The 21,089-nt window shown below is 36.4% G+C and overlaps 1 long non-coding RNA gene across 1 annotated transcript; it reads right to left on the bottom strand.

Moving 5' to 3' along the window:
- Positions 1-617: 617 nt before the first annotated feature.
- LINC02821 (long intergenic non-protein coding RNA 2821) lies at positions 618-21,042 on the bottom strand. The gene is made up of 3 exons (XR_945070.3): positions 20,831-21,042; positions 20,419-20,478; positions 618-1,636 (listed from the first exon to the last, which is right to left on the bottom strand). It is a non-coding gene; the product is annotated as a long intergenic non-protein coding RNA 2821 (long non-coding RNA).
- Between the last annotated feature and the right edge of the window lie 47 nt (positions 21,043-21,089).

The following is a 21,089-nucleotide window of genomic DNA, read 5'->3' as shown; positions in this document are numbered from 1 at the left end:
TCGCGGCTAGGAGCTGGAGACCAGCCCGGCCAACACAGCGAAACCCCGTCTCCACCAAAAAAAAACGAAAACCAGTCAGGCGTGGCGGTGCGCGCCTGCAATCGCAGGCACTCGGCAGGCTGAGGCAGGAGAATCAGGCAGGGAGGCTGCAGTGAGCCGAGATGGCAGCAGTACCGTCCAGCCTTGGCTCGGCATCAGAGGGAGACCGTGGAGGGAGAGGGAGAGGGAGAGGGAGAGGGAGGGGGAGGGGGAGGGAGAGGGAGAGGGAGAGGGAGAAGGAGAGCGAAGTGTCATACTTTTTTGCTTTAAACAGTCATATGTGTTTTCAATAAGGAAAGAAACATATACATATATTTGTTATTTATATACTTACCCACATATTTACTATTTCTACTGTTTGAGTGTAATTTTAGTAAACTATGAGAAGTCTTGAAATATTTATATTCTGTTACCCAATAGTTGCATTTACAGGATTTTTTATGGAAATAAGTAGAGATGATAATAAAATTTCTTATATCATCATGTTTTGCTCACTGTTTCTTATAATTAAAATTTTGAAATAATTTAAATGTCTAAGAACAGGAAAATTATTACATAAACTATGTTACATATGTAGGACAGATAAACGTTTATTTTTAGGATATTGATTAAATTAGGCAAGTATATATTATATGTGTATATATTTTTATAATTATAGTTTTTAGGGAAAGACTGAGAAGAAATATATCTAGATATTAATAATGGTTCTTTCTGGCTATTTGGATTATGCGTTTGATTTACTGCCATTTTCTTATTTAAACTTTCTATATTTTCTAAATTTTTACAAAAATATATTTTCTTTTGTAATCAGACGAATAGCACAATGAGAAAATTCAGGATTGGGGAGTTATGTTATATAAGCGCTGGTCAGAATCTGAAACTAGTTAATCATAGTAGTAAGACTAATTGTCATAAATATATTTACCAACTTTAATGTCTTCAGTTTGACAAATTTGGAGGATAGAAGGTAAGAAGGCAAGGTATGGTGAAAGGTATATGAATTTACATATTATTCAATATAGTAAGCCTATTCTATTCGTAGGTCTTCTTTTCTATTCTGTTATGATTTAAAGATTGCTACAGGTTCCTAAATGCCTCAAAGGATCTCCCTCACTGGCTGCATTGGACGTTAAAATTTTTGTAAGTCAACTCCATTTGTTTAAAGCTCTATTGTCTCTCTTCCTATGAAACCTACCTTATTTGATCCAGGAGGGGAGCATCCATTGACATATAAGCATGGATTACTGTATCAAACTCAGGACATTCTGATGAAGAATATTTTGGTGGTGTGGGTAATACTCTACAGTTATAGAGCTGACTGTGTAGGGTTAATTCTAGTCAGAATTCTATGGTGAGGTATCCTAGAGGTATCACCTATTCTAGGGTGAGGTACTGGACACTTTGTGAGGTTGGTAGGTGGGTAGAAGTGAAAGAAAAAAGAAGAAAAAGGAAGGACAATACCAAATGGAGATGCAAGAATCATTCAAAATTATTCATTTGTTCAACGAACCTGTGTTCGCAGCTATTAAGCCTGTATTCCTCTTGAAGTGTCATTTGTCAGTGGCCAGTGATTTTTGTGGTTCTTGGTTGCTTGTTCCTTCATTGAGATAGAAGTCAAAATCCCTTGTAAGGTTTAAAGTTCTTTACCTATACAAGGTATGTTTATTATTTTGCCCTTCATACCTTCAAATTTCAGTCACTTCAGTAGTTGAAGAAATTAACCCCCAGTAAAGGGACATGGTAAGTAAACCATCCCCAGGGAAAATATACATAATAGTTAATCTGGGCCTTCTGGAGACTTTACCTCTTCCTTGGCTTTCATACATGCTGACAACTCTTTAAGATGGAATTTAAAGCCAAATGAGGAAGAAGGCAGAGGTTTGTGGATGCTTTGTGGTAAATGGATCTTTCAAAGGCCCCTAAGTCAATTTGCATTGGTAGCCCCTGTTCAGTCTTGTCCTAGGAGACCAGTCCAAAGGAAGGTAAGTTTTTAAAATGCACTCATAAAGTCAGAACACATACAGATACAATAAATCCAAATCTAATGCCTTTATTGTACAGGTAAAAAAAATTAAGTCTTGATAACTTGGTTGACTTAACCAAGATTATAACTAGATAAAAACCCAGGTCTCTTAGCTGATCTAATGGATTTTCCACAATATAAAGTTGTCCCAAGTCCAGGTATTAGATACACACCTTCAAAGCCCATAAATACATGAAACAAAGCAAGGCAAAAAAACAAGCAAGCAAAGAAAAGAAAAATCCTAGCAAGTCTCACATCAACCACTGGGAGAAAATGTGTAAACATTAAATGGAATGGAATTGCAAGCCATGTTGTCTTTTATAAAAAGTGGATTGTGTCAACTATACTAAATAATTTTCTCCCTAAAATTGTTGAACAAAAGAAGGTAATGTAGATTTTGCTTATCTGGGCTGTGAGGCTTTTTTGTTGTTTTGAGACAGAGTCTTGCTCTGTTGCCCAGGCTGGAGTGCAGTGGCGTGATCTGGGCTCACTGCGGTCTCCGCCTCCCAGGTTCAAGCGATTCTTCTGCCTCAGCCTCCTGAGTTGCTGGGACTACAGGTGCACACCACCATGCCTGACTAATCTTTGTATTTTTAGTAGAGACAGCGTGTCACCATGTTAGCCAGCCCTATCTCGAACTCCTGACCTCAAGTGATCCGCCCTCCTCAGCCTCACAAAGTGCTGGGATTATAGGCATGAGCCACTGCACCTGGCCCTGCGGCATTTTTTGATATGGGATGATGTGTATCATTTAAAATCTGACTTCAACTGATTTGGGCAATATTTCTTAGCCATAGACAAAGAATGAGTCTGTTGTGTGAAGATGCCTGGTTGAGTGTTATAGGAGTCAGGATAAGGTCACATTTACTTTATTGGATGTTTTATTCCATATCTTGACTCAAAGAAGGCAAAGGGCAAGATAATGAAATCCATTGGTGACCTAATTTCGGAGGCATTGTCAATGTGAACAAGAACAGAGAAGTAAAATAAATACAAGTTTAGACATATATGCCAGGAAGATGCAGTGGGACATCACTTCAAAAGCAACCTAATAGCTTGGAATGGAAATGGGTGCCAGAAATTCTAGAGATAGAAAATGATAATGACTTTTAAATGGTGGGGGGAGGGAATTATAATAGTTTGCAAAATCATACAAGATTACAATTTTGAATGGAGGAAAAAAATACCCCACACAAAAAGAACTATGTACTTAATATACATTTGCATAAATTTTCCATCTCAAAATCAGAATGGAAAGATTTCCATTATTATTTTGGAGATATAAACATTTTGGGTATAGGATTGGAGATAGTATCAAAGTAAACATGTAAAAGGATGAGTTACATATAAAATGACTGAGTACAATGTGAAGGTACAGATAGTATCCTTAGGATCTCAGATCTCACATAAATTAAGGAAAAAAAGAGAAGGAATTGAAAAGAGAGAAAAAAAGGAATTGCTCTGTCTGCCTTCTGTTGTCTATTATGCTTTTCTCTTGTTTTATAAAGAAAAAAACAGATTTTTTTTTCTTAATAAAGTCTTGCTAATATATAGGTTTAGAAAAGAGCAATCAGGGCACAGCAACAACCCATATCCAGGTAGTCTAGGAGAGACTCTAATTTTTATGAGTACTCTTGATGTCCCAGGGGACCAGAGCCAGTGCTGTTCAATTTTTTAAAATCCTCTCACAGTTTTGGAATTCATAGGGTTAAAATTCTCACAAAGTGTCTTTATGAGAACACATAGCAGTCTGTTTTCAATTGCATAAGTAATGGCATGATGAAATTCAGCACTGTGATTGCTATAAAATAAGAGATTCTTTCAGAAATCATATGCCATTGGACAAGAAAAGGACCCTTTCTGCACAGCTGGAGGGAGTAATTGAGGTGCCCTTTTCAGCAGATACCTGTATTTCATGGTAGAAGGAATCCATTAAAGATTGAAAGAGGTATTTAAATTAAAGGCTAACTTACCCAGAGAAATTAAAGGATCCAAATACACAAACTCTCACTAAATCACCAGTAAGTATGGGGTTAATTGTTCTGCATAAGTATAGTAGAAATCATCAGTGATGATGAGACATAAAAGGGAACAGAAGCAAGAGGAATAAAGGATACTTTAGCATACTTTTTAGTAAACATCCATCTAGTCTCCAGTTTTAAGGGGTTGCTCACAGCTTTACAATGAGGTAGTGAGTATTTATCGGCAGAATTCCTGGGAACTTAAAAGCAACAACTTTAGATGATCTCCCAGGAGAAGAGTTAGGAATGACCTGGATACAAATTTTCCCCTTTTCTTTCTAAGTCTGGCTGCTTAAAAATCAGCCATCTGGACTGCTTTTCTCTTCCCTAACCAGCACATATGCTGCTTGTGATCATTTTCCTAGGCCAGCAGGCTGTTTTGACAGAGGGCACTGTGTCAGCATTAATTTACCTCACTATATCCCTTTATGAACCAATTCAGGGAATCCTTGACCACATCCTCTTTCCTTTGCCTACTCAGTTCTGTCCATCTCAAATATTTGCTTAAAAATAAACTCAATGAAATGCCGCAACTTTTCAGATTTATAGAACAACATCGTATGTGCTATCAGAGAAGTGAAAGGAGCACCACAACATTTGTGAAGGCACTGTGGTGATTATAAGAACTCATTGAATACATGAGATATAAAGTCAAAATTGGACGCATTGATTTTATATTCAAAAACTTTCAAATAGTTGCTTATGGTTGAGGAAAACCTTTTATGACTTATTAATAACTAATGTCCATGGCATTTAATTATGGGTACCTGCTACATGAGCCAGGCACTATTTATTTCATTTCAGTCGTTACTAAATGTCAAGTATATCTCTGTCTTAGTTCGTTTGGGCTGTTATAACAAAAATACCATAGACTGGTTAATTTCTAAACAACAGAAATTTATTGCTCACAGTTATGGAAGCTGGGAAGTCCACGATAAAGGTGCCAATAGATTTATTACCTGGTGAGGGCTCACTCTGTGCTTCAGAGATGGTCTTCTCACTGAGTTCTCATGTGCAGAAGGGGCAGACAGGTTTCCTCAAGCCTCTTATATGGGCACTAATCCCATTTATAAAGACAGAGCCCTCACGACCTATCACCCCTCCCAGAGGCCCACTTCTTAATACCATTGCATTGGAGATTAAGTTTCAACACATGAATCTGGGAGGATCACAAACATTCAGGCCATAGCATGTGCTTATGCTGGAAGTACAAAGACGAAAGAAACATAACCACTTCCTTCAAGAGGTTTGGTAGGGGGAGAGAAAGATTCATTAAATAGTTACTTTCAGTAAAAATGTGGTAAGTGTAATAATAAAAGAGGCAAGCATGGAGAAGGCTATGGAAACATATAGGAAGGGTTAGAAAAAGTTTTCTGCAGGAAGTGACTTTTGAAACAAGTATTGAAGAATGATAGAAGGGGGAAGCAGCAGCTTCAGCTAGGGCCAAATGCTGAGAAAGTGCTTCAGTGGGAGTAAAGAATAGAGTGGGACATGTGGAGTCAGGGGAATGATGGCTGAAGAATCCAGCAGAGCCAGATCATGGAAGGCTTCATATGACATGTTAAAGAGCTTTCCTTAGCAGATACTTGATGGAATCATTTATTCCTAGCAGGAAAATTCTGTGGGAAAAAGCTTGGAAAACATACCAACAAGACTTCTTTAATGTAGAGTCTCTTGAAAATTTAAATATGCTAATGCATATTGTGAATCTCCAAAACAGGAATATACTATACAGTTTCTGACCATGAAACACTTAAACACTTATCAGAGATAATCTTTTGGGGCCAGAGTTCTGAGAATTACTTTGGGAAGTAGTGCACAAATCTTTAGGGAATCATTAAGAGTTTAAATAAAGCTTGTCCAATCCATGGCCCATGGACTGAATGTGGCCCAGGATGGCTTTGAATGTGGCCCAACACAAACTCTAAAATTTCTTAAAACATTAAGATAATTTTTTTGCGATTTTTTAAAGGTCATCAGCTATTGTTAGTGTTAGTGTATTTTATGTGTGGCCCAAGACAATTCTTCTGCCAATGTAGCCCAGGGAAGCAAAAAGAATTTAAAAATATTTAGGAGGTTAGATTGACCGAACTTGGTGATTGATTGATATAGGGAGGTAAGGGGTAGAAAAGATTAAAAGTTTCTAACACAGATGATCAGATGGATGGGGTGCCAACAAAGGAATAATTATAAGAGGAGGAATAGGTTTAGAGAAGATAACAGGAGTTTAGTTTTGGACAGGTCGAGATTGAAGACATGTATGGGATACGTAGTGGAGATTCTAGGAAGTGATTGCATATGTGTGTGAAGTTTCTATTAAATGCCCAGATTTTGGTAGTTAACAGGATATGGATGTAGTTACAATTATGACAATATTAAAAATTACCCAGGAAGAGTGAATAGAATGAAAAGAAGTATGGACCAAGGACAGAAGTTAGGGAATTCCAACAGAAGTATTTACGTACATAACAACTTCAAAACCTTGAGTCAACTCAAACCATAAACACAGGTTGCTGTTGAAAAAGACACCACCAACACAATATTAGACCTATATCAGTAATGATTTTTGGATCTATACTAAGTTCATGCCTCTCTCTACTTAGACTTTATATTGGTCTATAGCAAATATTTTAATATGCATTCTCCACTCCCACAACAATTCAATTACCAGAATTTTATTTTTTCTTTAACTTCAAAGTGCTTTTCTTCTTTTAGTTACTCTTTGAAAGCAGAGAGATTTGGGAGTAAATAGAGATTTGAACTGAGGCTGACATATTTGAACCTCTGATTTTGCAGAATCCTAGTGGTGGCTCCAAAGTTTCTATATAGGAAGGGCTTATGGAGGCAATCTGAAAGAAGGTGCTAAGGCAAGATTTACATAGGAAATGTTTTTACTAAGATTGTAGGTTACTTTGGTAACATTAAGGGTTAATGAAAATTATGCATGAAGTGGAGAGAGCCAAATCTTTTAAGCTGCCTCAGCTTGGCCTCATGACTGCTTTTTAACATCATTAATATTTCCAGCTGCTATTAAAATAAACCCTGTAAGCAGCTAACAATGTGTTAGCAACTAAATTTTGCTAAGCCATATCATCATGCATGTATTAACCCCATTTATATTGGTGATTCAGATACCCACTAGGATTCTATTATTTAGTAGAAATTGCTTTTTAAAAGCAATGTGGTAAAGTTTTAAAATACAATCACCCATGGCAAAATGTAGCTTTACTTAGTATCTACCACTGTTTGTGTCTACCACAATTAACTAAGATTACTTAGTATCTGCCAAAATACAAAAACTGTTGGCTCTCAGTTTTTATATTGTAGATGCTACAATTTTTATGTGGCTGTCTAAATTCTTTGTGAAAGGACTTGGAGTGTAAATAAAAATGAGTAAATAAGTATATGCTGCATTACATCTAATCTGAATAATAAGATTAATGATGTATCTAGTTCACTTATGTTTTAAATGGCATATGTTGGTGTTTGTGGTGCAGGTTTAATATTATATGAATGTGAGGAAGTATGAAGAAACACAGAACAAACTTCAAAAAATAAAACCATGCAATGTGCTAAATGCCTGTCAATTAATAGTAATTTAATAACTTTATATGTCATTGATATGAAGAATTAAAGCTGTTAGTTTTTTTGGCACAGAGTTTTCTTCTCAGGAGTAATTTAGGTATTAAAAAATATAACTTGTCATGTAGTTATTACAGCCTTGGAAAAAGCAGAAGCAATATATCTGGTGCATATGCCCACTCCAAATATAGCATTGCAGAAGGCATGTTTGCCTGGAATCCTTGCAAAGGGTACAATTAAGTTTAAGCTTAATGAAATCAAGGTGGTTTTCAATGCCTAGTTTTCATGATCAAAACAATGTTCATTGTTATGTTCTGTGCATGGTCAATGCATGGCCTGTTTCTTTAACACAAGAGATAAATTAAAAGAATAAAACAATGGTCACAATTACTTTTTCCATAGACTGGCTTCTTTCAGATAATGCCAAAGAAACAGTATTTTCTATTAATATTTGAAAATCTAGAGCAGAAATGATAAGTTGCATCTCAAAGGACTTCAAAGATGGTTCTTTAAAACAATCATTGTAAGAAGAAAGATACATAATAAGAACAGGAAATTTGAGGCTTGGAGGAAAGATAGTCTGTATATTATCCTTTGTCATGAAATATCTGGGTTTAGGCACTGTAGGCTGAGATTTTAGTTAATGGGATAGATGATTATGATTATATTTGCTGGTATTTCTTAGGAAATTTAGCTGGTATTTCTTAGGAATTCCTTAGGAAATTCCCATGAATTATAGATGTATACTGTACCGTTTTGTGAGAACCTCTCTCTCCTACACAGAGATGTCAAGTCCTTGGGTCTGAATTTTCTGGTTTCAATTTGAAAAGAAACCCTAAAATGTGTTAACTTAGAGTTTAAGGATCAGTCTGAGTAAAAGAAAAGTCTAAGTTGAAGGCTATATAAAATTTCAAGATCCTGAGATATTAGAGGTGCCGTTTCTTCCGTCTCCTCTCCCTTGTATCATTCCCAAAAGATAAATAATCCAAAAAGGATGAAGAAAAATATAATTGGGAGTCAAAGAATAACAACATAATGTTAAACCAGAGACCTTTGTTCACGTGTTTATCTGCTGACCTTCTCTCCACTATTATCCTATGTCCCTGCCACATCCCCCTCTCTGAGAAACACCCAAGAATGATCAATAAATACTAAAAAAAAAAAAAGAATAACAACCTAATGTTAATAGAAGAAGAAACAAAAACAAAATTTATTCAGATACATAACAATTTTATGAGTTTGCATTCTTCAAATATATGAGTTTTATCTGTGTCATCTTATGAAAATCAGATGGCATAAATGACCAAGAAATCTAGGCAGATGATTGTGAAACAATCTTGATGGACTTTCTATGTTTAAAGATGTGGTTTAACATAATAGTATAATTATAGATTCAGTGTTAGTTGATTTTTTGGGGGTAACATTCCTATGCCTGTGTTATTTCTAAACATATTTTCAATTTTAAATAATGGCTGCTATTGGGCATAATGTGACCAACTTTCTATCTTTCATATAATTGTATATACATATATAATATCATTTATTTATGTTATAGAAACTATATATATATATATTCCTAATGTGTATTTATGTTATAAAAAGGACTCTAACCTGTTCTGTTTTAAATTGTTAATTAGCCTGATTTTGTACACAAACACAGATTGCTTACGTTTGAATGTCTACAAATGTTCTTCCATCTCTATTCTACCTCCCTCTGCTCTCTGTAGCAATCTCTTCCAGCTGCTATTCTCACTCTATACTATGTCTCCCTGCTAAATTAGATTGGAATATACTTGCCTAGGAAATCACAAGTTCAAACATAGTACATCTAAATTTGGCAAAAGCTGTGAATAATATTTTCATTTTAAAAATCAAATAATTTTCAGAGAATCTAAGCAACATTCTCTAGAGTGGACACTCAGTACCTAGGGCATGTATTAGATGATCCGTGGGGTATGTGAAAAAACTACTTGTGCTTCTATTTCTATTTCTGTTTTCTTATCCCCTTATAGTTTCCATTTTTGCATGTTTTACAATGTGCATAATATATTCACAAAATGTTACTCTAGTAGAACATATGTACCAATATATGTTTGTTTGTTTGTTTTTTACTGCTAACATGTAAGGTCAAAGAAGATAGGAAATCAGAGGGGGTAAAGATGAAGAACACTTGCTTAGTCATATGATAAACCTAGATTTGATTCTTACCTCTAACACTTACTAGATTTGTGACTTAAGCAAGTTACATAAAATCTGTAAGCCTCAGTGTTCTTATCTATAAAATGGTAATCACTGTATAAACAAGGAGCCTCAATCTCCTTATTTTTTAGATTTGAGGTTTCTTGATTTTTAAATATTATTGTAAAACTCATCCCATTAGAGAAAATTTTTAATTTTTGTAAAGAGGTAAAATAAAATAGTTGACAATCATTTACCTACTCAAAAATTATTGTGCATTAAATTTGGTTTATATATACAAACACACACCTTCACACACACACTTGTAAACAGCAAAAGCTCATTAATAATTACTCCTAAAGTCCTGCAAATCATCCTAAAAGACACATCTTATTGATAACTTGCTCCAGAATTAGAGAATACAAAACATAATTTTAAATCAGTGAGGAAGTTAGCTTTTGTTCTCAGAAATGTGGTCTTATCTCAGATTTAGAAGACTTTTTTAGTCTGTTATGCTAGAGCAGGATTCCTTTCCCCCTAAACCTTTGATGAACATCAAAATACATTTTAAAAGTGTGCATTTTGTTTTGTTTTGTTTTGTTCAGTTTAGACTGTGTTTTTACCCATTGCTGAAACAGTCACTTACTCACAGAAACCTCATAAAACCTGAATAGCAACATGCCTGGATAGTAGTAATGTTATATGCTCACTATGAGTTTCTAAGAGAAAAGAATGAAAAGTAAAGACAAAAGAAGACCAAGAGAGTTTATTGCTAGCAGACCTACACTGCAAAAAATACAAAAGGAAGTTCTTCAGGCAGAAGGAAAATGGTAACAGATGGAAATTCAGATATTTAAGAAAGAATGAAGAGCTTTTCAAATGGTAAATATGTGGGTAGATAATTATTTCCTAGAAACTGACATAAAAATAATCATGTTTCTCTATGTAGCATTACTTTATAATGTATATAAATACCACAAATTTCAATTGAGACACCAAGATACAACAGAGGGCACATTCCAGAGGATATGATAATCCAGATGCAAATTTTCAAAGGAAACAGTCAAAAATATGTTAGATGACTCATCCTTATTAAGTGCATAAAAAGGCCAGGAGCAGTGGCTCATGCCTATAATCCCAGCATTTTGGGAGGCCAAGGTGGGAAGATCACTTGAGGCTAGGAGTTAGACACCAGATTGAGCAGTAGTGAGACTTGCCTGTAAAAAGAATTTGGAAAACAATAAAGTTAGCTGGGCATGCTCGTGTGTGCCTGTAGTCCACTGTAGTGAACTACGATTGCACCACACTGCACTCCAGCCTGGGCAACAGAGTGAGACCCTGTCTCTGAAAAAAAAAAAAAAAAAAGCACGAAATGTTTGGCTTTTTGGAAGGTTGAAGAGATTTTTGAGGATGATTAATTTAGAGAGAGCTATGCTATACTGTAATTACCAACCTTCACCACCCAAATGGATTGGGTAAGCTGGCACTCAATTCCGGTGACAGGGGTTTCCATAAGACTACTTATATAGCTTGATATGTGTTAACCATGGTTGAAGGGCATTAGTGGATTTTATTTATTAAGTCAGGTTTATTGAGGTATAATATACACACAGTAAAATTAACCTTTTAAGTTAGGTATGAGTTTTGACAAATGTACGCAGTCATGTAAAAAATACCACATCATTACACAAAAAAGTTATCTGGTGCCACTTTGAAGTTAATACCCTTCTCATACTCCCAGATGCTAACCAACACTGGTTTGAATTTTGCCCATTTAGTTTTGTCTTTTTCAGAATGTCATATGAACGAAATTATATAATAATATGTAGCTTTTTGTATCTTCCTTCTTTCAATTAACATATTGCTTTTGAGACTCATCCATGTTGTTGCATGCATCAGTAATTTCATGGATGAATGACAATTTGTTTATCCATTCACCAGTTGATGAATTTTTTGATTCCTCCCAGTTTCTGGTAATTATGAATAAAGCTATTTTAAGCATTTGTAAATAGGTCTTTATGTGAACATGTCTTCAACTTCTCTTGTGCTAGGAGTGGCATTTATGGGTCAATAAGTTAAGTATATGTTTAACTTTATTGGGTTGCTGTTTGACTCTACTTAGGAAATCTTTGAGATGGGTTGACAAACAACATGAGCAGCAAAATGAAGGAGAGTTCTCTGCCCTCCCAAAGTATGTGTGATCAGGAATACAGGAGTGTTTACTGTAGACCAGATAGCCTTTTATCAGTTATATACTGCTGCTAAAATAAAAAATAAGAAAAAATAAAAACCTACCACAAAATATAGAAGGTTAAAATAAAAGCAATAATTTATATGCTCACAATTTTGCAATTTGGGGTAGGCTCAGGGCTGGCTTGTCTCTGCGGTGTTGGCTGGGATCTCTCTTCTCTGTGTTCCTGGGGTATCTAAAATGTCCACTCCATACCTGGTGCCTCAGCTGGCATGACTGGAACACCTGGGATCTGGCTGAGCCTCTCTCTCCAGCAGGGTAGTTGGACTAATATGCATGATGACTCAGAACTCCAAAGGGGCAAAAATGGAAGCTGCAAGATCTCTTAAGATGTAGGCCTGGAAGTCACAAAGCATAGCTTTTGCTGCATTTTATTGGGATGGTCCCAGTTTCAAAAGAAAGGAAAATAGACTTCATCTCCTTATGGGAAGAGTGGAAACCACATTACAAAAGAGCAAGGGGTTGAGGAGAGAGTGTTATGGCTAGCTTTAGAGACAATCTGTCTCAGTTCATATTGCATTTGTATTAGATTCTGTTCAATGGTACTGCTTAGAAGGGTGATGGGACCTCAGAAGGAAGGAAGTGGAGGTGAGCTGAAGGATTCTAGAAGAATTAGCTGCCAGAATAAAATCCATTCAGCCAGATCAAGAAAATGGTAGTTGAGAGGCCCTCAACAGAGATTTCCAAAGAGCGAATAAAAATGGCCCATGGGGGGATAAAAATGTCAAATTATATGTCTTCCAGTCCCAGAGAGCACAGAGTCACCTTACAACAATAACAGTCATGTAAAAACTTTCTCATCCTTTTATTTCTTCTCCCCTCCCCATCCCAACTTTCACTCTGGTGGAAACAGAAAATCAAAAATCATAGTTAATAAACTAGGGGAAACAGCAGGGACAGGAAGGAGGACTGCACTCACTTCCAACTTGCCTGTGTCCAGCCTCTGCTGGCCCATGTTGCAAAAGGCAGGAAGACTTTAACATTAAAACAATTTTGGAGTTTTGATCATTATCTATTATTGTACACTTATAATTACTATACTCAGACTATATTTGTGACTTAACATGATCGTAGGACTTTACCCAAGAGTGGCCAGAAAAAATATGGGGTCTACCTGAGTTTTAATCCAAGGGTAGGAGAAAGATTGTCCACATCAAGGATCTTAAGTAAAATTATGGGAAACAAAAATAATTATTTAAAATACCTAATGCTAGATGACACGTTAGTGGGTGCAGCACACCAGCATGGCACATGTATACATATGTAACTAACCTGCACAATGTGCACATGTACCCTAAAACTTAAAGTATAATAATAATAAAAAAAAAAAGATTAAAAATAAAATACCAGTTATGTAGTTAGGTCTATGATAGGTAAGTTTTCATGGCAGTTAAGAAGAAAGAGTAAATAATTCCATGTAACCAATGTTTGTTACCACATATAATAGTATGTTCCATCACTTACCAGCTGTGTAGTCTTGATCAAGTCAGTTAATCCCTCCGTGCCTCATATTTTTGATTTGTAAAATGAAATACATAATAGTAATCTCGTTGGGTAATTGTGAGAATTAGATAAAATCTAGATTAAGTGCCTAACAGTGTCTAGCAAATAGCTGTTCAACAAATGATAGTTATCATCATCATTATCTGCCTTAAGTTGTTTTACTGAATTAAAATTTTTTGCAAGAAATTGTCCTACTTTTTATTTCCTTTTTAAGAAATAATATTTTAATAAATGCAATAATATCCTTAAAATGATTAACATAATCACTGGAACATGGTGGGTGTTCAGTAAATGGTGGTGGTGGTGGTGGTTATTATAGTTGCTTGAATATAAGCCCTTTCACCTCCCTCTCTTCCTGTTATGTACTAGCTATACCATTTCTAGTACTCTATTTAATCTCTTTGAATCTCGGTTCCTTCCTTTGTAAAACAGTGCTTTTACTTACTTTACCTATCTCACACAGTTGTTATAAAGAATAAAATTCAGTCTTTGAAAGTATTTGTAAATGCTATACACATATGAGTTAGCATTATTTTCATTCATTGAGGTTACCTTTAAAATATTATTTATAAATCTCTTTCAAAATGATTTTGAGTGACTCTCAAAGGTTTTCTGTAAAGAAAGCCAATACCTCTATTTACAAACTGCTTTCTAAAAGTAAGTGTAGTGTTCACTTCAGTAGCACATATACTAAAAGGTAAGTGTGTATTTTCTAGTCTTTATGCATAGATGCTGTGATTTCAGGGCAGTTGCAAGATCCTACTAGACCACCAATCTTTCTTCTTTTTAGTGCTGATCTTCTCTCCTACCTCACCTGAAATTTATCAATTAGCGTTTCTAGTTGGGTAGACTAGAAGGGTTTAAATTCTGATAACATGTTCTTATTTTACCTAGAAAAGTTAGGCAAACTTAAGGGTTGAGAGAAGGGACTGTCTCCTACAACTTCTCTGTTGGCACAAATTAATTGATTAGTCTCACTGTTAGCTAAGAATATCCATTCTAAAAGTGTGAGATCAAAAGTTGAGCTCATTTCAGTGGAGGAGCAAAACACGGTCACAACTACTTAAGAATAAATAGCTCGACAAGCTTTCATGTCATTTATTTCCAACAGAAGGTGGCTGCTTCCCCAAGATGCCTCTCACCAGATGGTGAATTCTCAGTTCATTTTTAACTACCTGCAAAATCATGGCACATGGCTCTGACCTCATTTCATTTTAGAATTCACCTTTTATTTTAGCTTATGATTTCCATCTGAGCAAAAAAGTTCCTTAAAAGGCAAGAGGTCAAAGTCACGGACAAACACACATGTGCATGAATATGTTTATTTTAATAAATAACTTATTCTTGATAATCCATCTGTAATTATGAGCAACTAATTTTTGTTGTTTCAGACCAGTTTTCCTTCTCTACCTATGCAACACCAGTTATCTCTATTGACTCAAAAAATGATAACTGATTTTAAATTATTCTAAGGAAAACATAATTCTAAAGACAAATTGGAAGTTCTCTCTGTATAGTGTATTTTGAAGTCAATATAAAATCCCTTGGATTATTTATATCAATCCTCATTCCCCAAATCTCTCTTTGTTAGTATTCATGATTGAGAATTTTTTTTTTTTTTTTTAGACTCATTTTCACTCTGTCGCCCAGGCTAGAGTGCAGTGGGGCGATCTCAGCTCACTGCAAGCTCCGCCTCCTGGGTTCATGCCATTCTCCTGCCTCAGCCTTCCCAGTAGCTGGGACTACAGGTGCCCGCCACCACGCCTGGCTAATTTTTTGTATTTTTAGTAGAGACAGGGTTTCAGCATTAGCCAGGATGGTCTCGATCTCTTGACCTTGTGATCCGCCCGCCTTGGCCTCCCAAAGTGCTGGGATTACAGGCGTGAGCCACTGCGCCCGGCGTCATGATTGAGAATTTATAGCACAATTATTCTAGGTCTCCGGGATAATCAGGGTAAGACCTTTGAGTAATGAGGAGTCACCAGGGAGTTTAGCCACCACTCCAAACAATTACAGCAGGTCCTTGAATAACCTCATTTTCTTCAACTTGGTTTCATTATAACATTGATGAGAGAAAAAAAATTGATTCCAGCCAAGGCCACTATCTGTGTGGAGTTGGTAAGTTCTCACCATGTCTACATGAGTTTTCTCTGGGTAATCTGGTTTCCTCCCACATCCCAAAGATGCATACATTAGGTGAATTGGAGTGTCTAAATGGTCCTAGCATGGGTGGGTGTGTCAGTGTGTGTGTGTATGAGTATACCCGGTGATGAGTATGTGTATGAGTATACCCAGTGATGAAAAGGCATCCTGTCCAGGCTGGTTCCTGCTTTGTGCCCTGAGCTGCCAAAATAGGCTCCAGCCATCTGAGCTGGAATAATTGGGTAAGTAATTATCATACTTGTTTTTATTAATCATTTAAGAATTTATACATAGCTCACATTTATTTTAATGTTTAATATTAGAAGTGTTTGGTTTTTATTTAGAAGTTTGGTGATATTTTTGTGACCAAAATATGCTATAGGAACTTAACTCTCACTTATATCAATTAGCTTATGGCAAAATTGGTTTCATTATCTGTTGTTTTGCTTCAAGTCACAGTTTCCAAAAATCTATTGACAATGTTAAGTGAGAGCTTTCTCTACTTTCATATGCCTGAACTTTTATGACCACACTCCTACTGCCCCCTTAAAGTTAGTTAGAGGTGGACATCTTGCAAAAGGGTACTCCTTGTAGATAGACATATGAGCCCAATAGAAGGGTCAGAATCTGCCCATTATCACTATTGAGAAAGTAAATTACAATAACCCAAGGGTGGACTATTTTGTCCTCTTCATGGGTGCAATTTGGCAAATGATGTTTTAGAGAAATCAAGTATAAATTAATATCAACTGTTTTCATCTTTATTTTCTAGGGTGATTTGATTATTGTACTGAGTAAAACAAATAGGCACTGGGGATAAGTGGTATGTATATATGAAAAAGATACTTAAAAATAATAAAATTATTTATAATATAGTTTCCTAAATAATAATAATTACTCTTGGTATCCACATGGAGTATTTTTGTTGCTGTAAAATTTTATAGCATAGAGCATTATAGCAATTATCCATAAAAATGTGAAGTTGAAAAGAACATTTGAGAATAGCTAGTACAACATCATAATTTTACACATGAGGAAACTGAAGCCCAGATAGATTTGGTGACTTTCCCAATGATACAGAGCTGGCTCGTGGCAGAGGATCATATCAGACATAATTCCATGTCTTTCAGCTCTTCGTCTGACAGTCTTCCCACTCCCATGCAGACTATACAGATAATTACTTTAATGTTAAAAATTAGTTTATGCACATACTTAAAATTGCACTTAAAAAGTAGTTCTCTAGCTTGGCCACACATGGAAATCACCTGGAGGGCTATTAAAAGCACCAACACCAGGTTGCACCTCAGATGGATTACATCACAACATCTGGGGATGGTATCCAGGCATCAGTAGTTTTCAAAGATCCCCAGGTGATTCCAATGAGCACCCAAGTTTGAGAACCACGCTACTAAAATAATTATAATGAAAAACAGGTGTCTTCTGTTCCACTGTTTCTAACTCCTTAGTTCTACTTTCTGTGGCCGTTTTTCTCAAAGTTTGGACCTAAGAGCAGTAGCATTGGCATCACCAGTGAGGCTTTTATTTATTTTTTTTTCTTTTTGAGATGAGGTCTCATTCTGTCACCCAGGTTGGAGTGCAGTGGCATGATCTCGGCTCTCTGCAACCTCCACCTCCCAGGCTCAAACGATCCTCCCACCTCAGCCCCCCAGTAGCTGGGACCACAGGTGTGCACCACCATGCCTGGCTAATTTTTGTATTTTCTGTAGAGGGAAGGTTTTGCCATGTTGCCCAGGCTAGGAGTGAGCTTGCTAGAAATGTACATTCAGGGGGCCCACTCTAACCTATTGAACCAGAATCTCTGAAGTTCCACAAAGCTGGAGGCATCATTGTACCTGACTTCAAACTGTACTACAAGGCTACAGTAACCAAAACAGCATGGTACTGGTACCAAAACAGAGATACAGACCAATGGAACAGAACAGAGGCCTCAGAAATAACACCACACATCAACAACCATCTGATCTTTGACAAACCTGACAAAAACAAGAAATGGGGAAACGATTCCCTATTTAATAAATGGTGTTGGGAAAACTGGCTAGCCATATGTAGAAAGCTGAAACTGGATCCCTTCCTTACACCTTATACAAAAATTAATTCAAGATGGATTAAAGACTTAAATGTTAGACCCACAACCATAAAAACCCTAGAAGAAAACCTAGGCAATACCATTCAGGACATAGGCATGGGCAAGGACTTCATGACTAAAACACCAAAAGCAAGGACAACAAAAGCCAGAATAGACAAATGGGATCTAATTAAACTAAAGAGCTTCTGCACAGCAAAATAAACTACCATCAAAGTGAACAGGCAACCTACAGAATGGGAGAACATTTTTGCAATCTACCCATCTGACAAAGGGCTAATATCCAGAATCTACGAAGAACTTAAACAAATTTACAAGAAAAAAACAACTCCATCAAAAAGTGGGCAAAGGATATGAATAGACACTTCCCAAAAGAAGAAAGTTATGCAGCCAACAGACACACAAAAAAATGCTCATCATCACTGGTCATCAGAGAAATGCAAATCAAAACCACAGTGAGATACCGTCTCACACCAGTTAGAATGGCGATCATTAAAAAGTCAGGAAACAACAGATGCTGGAGAGGATGTGGAGAAATAGGAATGCTTTTACAGTGTTGGTGGGAGTGTAAACTAGTTCAACCATTGTGAAAGACAGCGTGGCGATTCCTCAAGGATCTAGAACTAGAAATACCATTTGACCCAGTGATCCCATTACTGGGTATATACCCAAAGGATTTTAAATCATGCCACTCTAAAGACATATGCACATGTATGTTTATTGAGGCACTGTTCACAATAGCAAAGACTTGGAAGCAACCCAGATGTCCATCAGTGATAGACTGGATTAAGAAAATGTGACAAATATACACCATGGAATACTATGCAGCCATAAAAAGGATGAGTTTATGTCCTTTGCAGGGACGTGGATGAAGCTGGAGACCATTATTCTGAGCAAACTATCACAAGGACAGAAAACCAAACACTGCAAGTTCTCACTCATAGGTGAGAATTGAACAATGAGAACACTTGGAGACAGGATGGGGAACATCACACACCAGGACCTGTCGCAGGGTGGGGGTAGGGGGGAGGGATAGCATTAGGAGAAATACCTAATGTAAATGACAAATTAATGGGTGCAGCAAACCAACATGGCACATGTTTACCTATGTAACCTGCTCGTTGTGCCCATGTACCCTAGAACTTAAAGTATAATAAAAAAATACAAAATTAAACAAAAACAAACAAAAAAAGAATATCTGAGGTTCCAGTTAACTGTAATTATTCATGTTAAAATTAGCCTTACCGTATAAGGTATCATTTTTCACTATTTTTAGCAGTATCCTCTATATTTACCTCCACATCTAAATAATATGTTCATAATCCTATTTCTTGATTTGATAATTTTATACTTTATCTGTTGACTTCCTGTTATGGCAAATAAGGATTTATTTAGTTTTTTGTAGTTTTCCCCCTCCTCTCATCCTTCCAGTAGAGTTCTATCACAATATTTTGCTAAATCAATTACTCTGTGTTTATGTTATTAATACTATAAAAATATTGTTCCCTGCAAAGCTAAATAAACCTGTGCTTATATACCTTTTATTATATATTTAATATTTTTTTCCTAAGATTAATAATTGCCTGGTTTGTTTATTGGTTCATTTTCTATGTATCTACTCTTAATTTTTAAATATGCTCTACTAAATCTGTTATACGCCTACTAATATAATTTTCAGGTATTCAAAACAAAGATATTTTGCCCATTTCATCTGGAAACCTATGCCCTCTTCATCCATTTGCTCTGATTTGAACTGGTTATTTTCTGAAGTCAGCTATGCAGTTGACATTCTGGATCTTGCCCTTGACCTTTCTTTCTCACACTATATCCAGTCTGCAGGCAAATATGCTGCCTTTACCTTCAAAATGTATCTGGAGTCTGATCCCATCTCTTTTTTTTTTCTTTTTTTTTTTTGAGATGGAGTCTCACTCTGTTGCCCAGGCTGGAATGCAGTGGTGCGATCTCAGCTCACTGCAACCTCTGCCTCCCAGGTTCAAGTGATTCTCCTGCCTCAGCCTCCCAAGTACCTAGGATTACAGACATGCACCACCACACCCGTTACAGAAATGCACACCTAATTTTTGTATTTTTAGTAGAGACAGGGTTTCCCCATGTTGGTCAGGCTAGTCTCAAACTCCCAACCTCAGATGAGCCACCACCTGGGCCTCCCAAAGTGCTGGGATTACAGGTGAGAGCCACCACACCCAGCCTGATCCCATCTTGACCTCCTCTGCTACCATCCTGCCCAAGCCACCATCATCTCTCTTAAACACTGAAATAGCCTGCTTAACTCTTCCACCCATTCCCCCTTTCAGCTAAAAATATAGCACAGATCATGTCTCATATATTTATTAGTTAAGTGCAAGTAACAAAAGGAACCATATGCCATTTGGGAAATGTTTGTTTCTTTTTCTAAGTGTGTATGTAGGGTAAGGGTTTCGGGCGAAAGTTGGTGGTGGTGGTGAACAGATTACGGGTATGGGAATTCTATATACATTCTCACTGATTGGCCTGTAGCAGATCAATGTTATGGAAAACAGAAAAAAATTTTAACATTTCCACAATAAGTACTTACTATGCATTGTGAGGTTAAAGAAGTAGAAGAAGATTCTTGCTTGTGAAAATTTACAAATTTCTGTAGGAGATAAAACATGTACATATTCCACACCGAAAGAACAAAACAATATTTGATTATATGTAGAAACTAGTATTATAGACTCCTTAGAAATTCAGAGAGAGAATGCAACATTTTGGCTGACTAATAATATATTAAAAGCAGGATTTGAGTTTGAATTTAAAATATGGGTGATATTAATATTTTACTTCCAGTGACTGCAAGGAGAATTTTGGACTGAGATAATGATGATGACATTAAAGGTATGCAACAGGAAGTTTTATTAGGGTTCTCCAGGTAAATGAAAAACAATAAGAAATGTAAATATTAATAGATTAGATAGAGAAGAGAGTTATTATAGGAATTGGCTCACATTACTTTGGAGACTGAGAAATTCCATGATACGCCATCTACAAGCTGGAAAGCCAGGGAAGCTGGTAGCATCGTTCAGTCCAAGTCCAAAGTCCTGAGAACTTCAGGCAGTAAGGGGATGCTGGATTAAGTCCCAGTGTTCAAAGATCAGAGAACCTGGAGTTTTGATGTGCCAGGGCAGGAGAAGATGAGTGTCTCAGCTCCAGAAGAGCGAGCAGATTCAGCTTTCTCTTGCCCTTTTGTTCTATCCAGGCCCTCAG

This window comes from Homo sapiens, chromosome 12, assembly GCF_000001405.40.
Source record: "Homo sapiens chromosome 12, GRCh38.p14 Primary Assembly".
NCBI lineage: Eukaryota > Metazoa > Chordata > Mammalia > Primates > Hominidae > Homo > Homo sapiens.
Note: the sequence above shows the minus strand (reverse complement) of the source record. Positions and strands in the feature narration are given on the sequence as shown.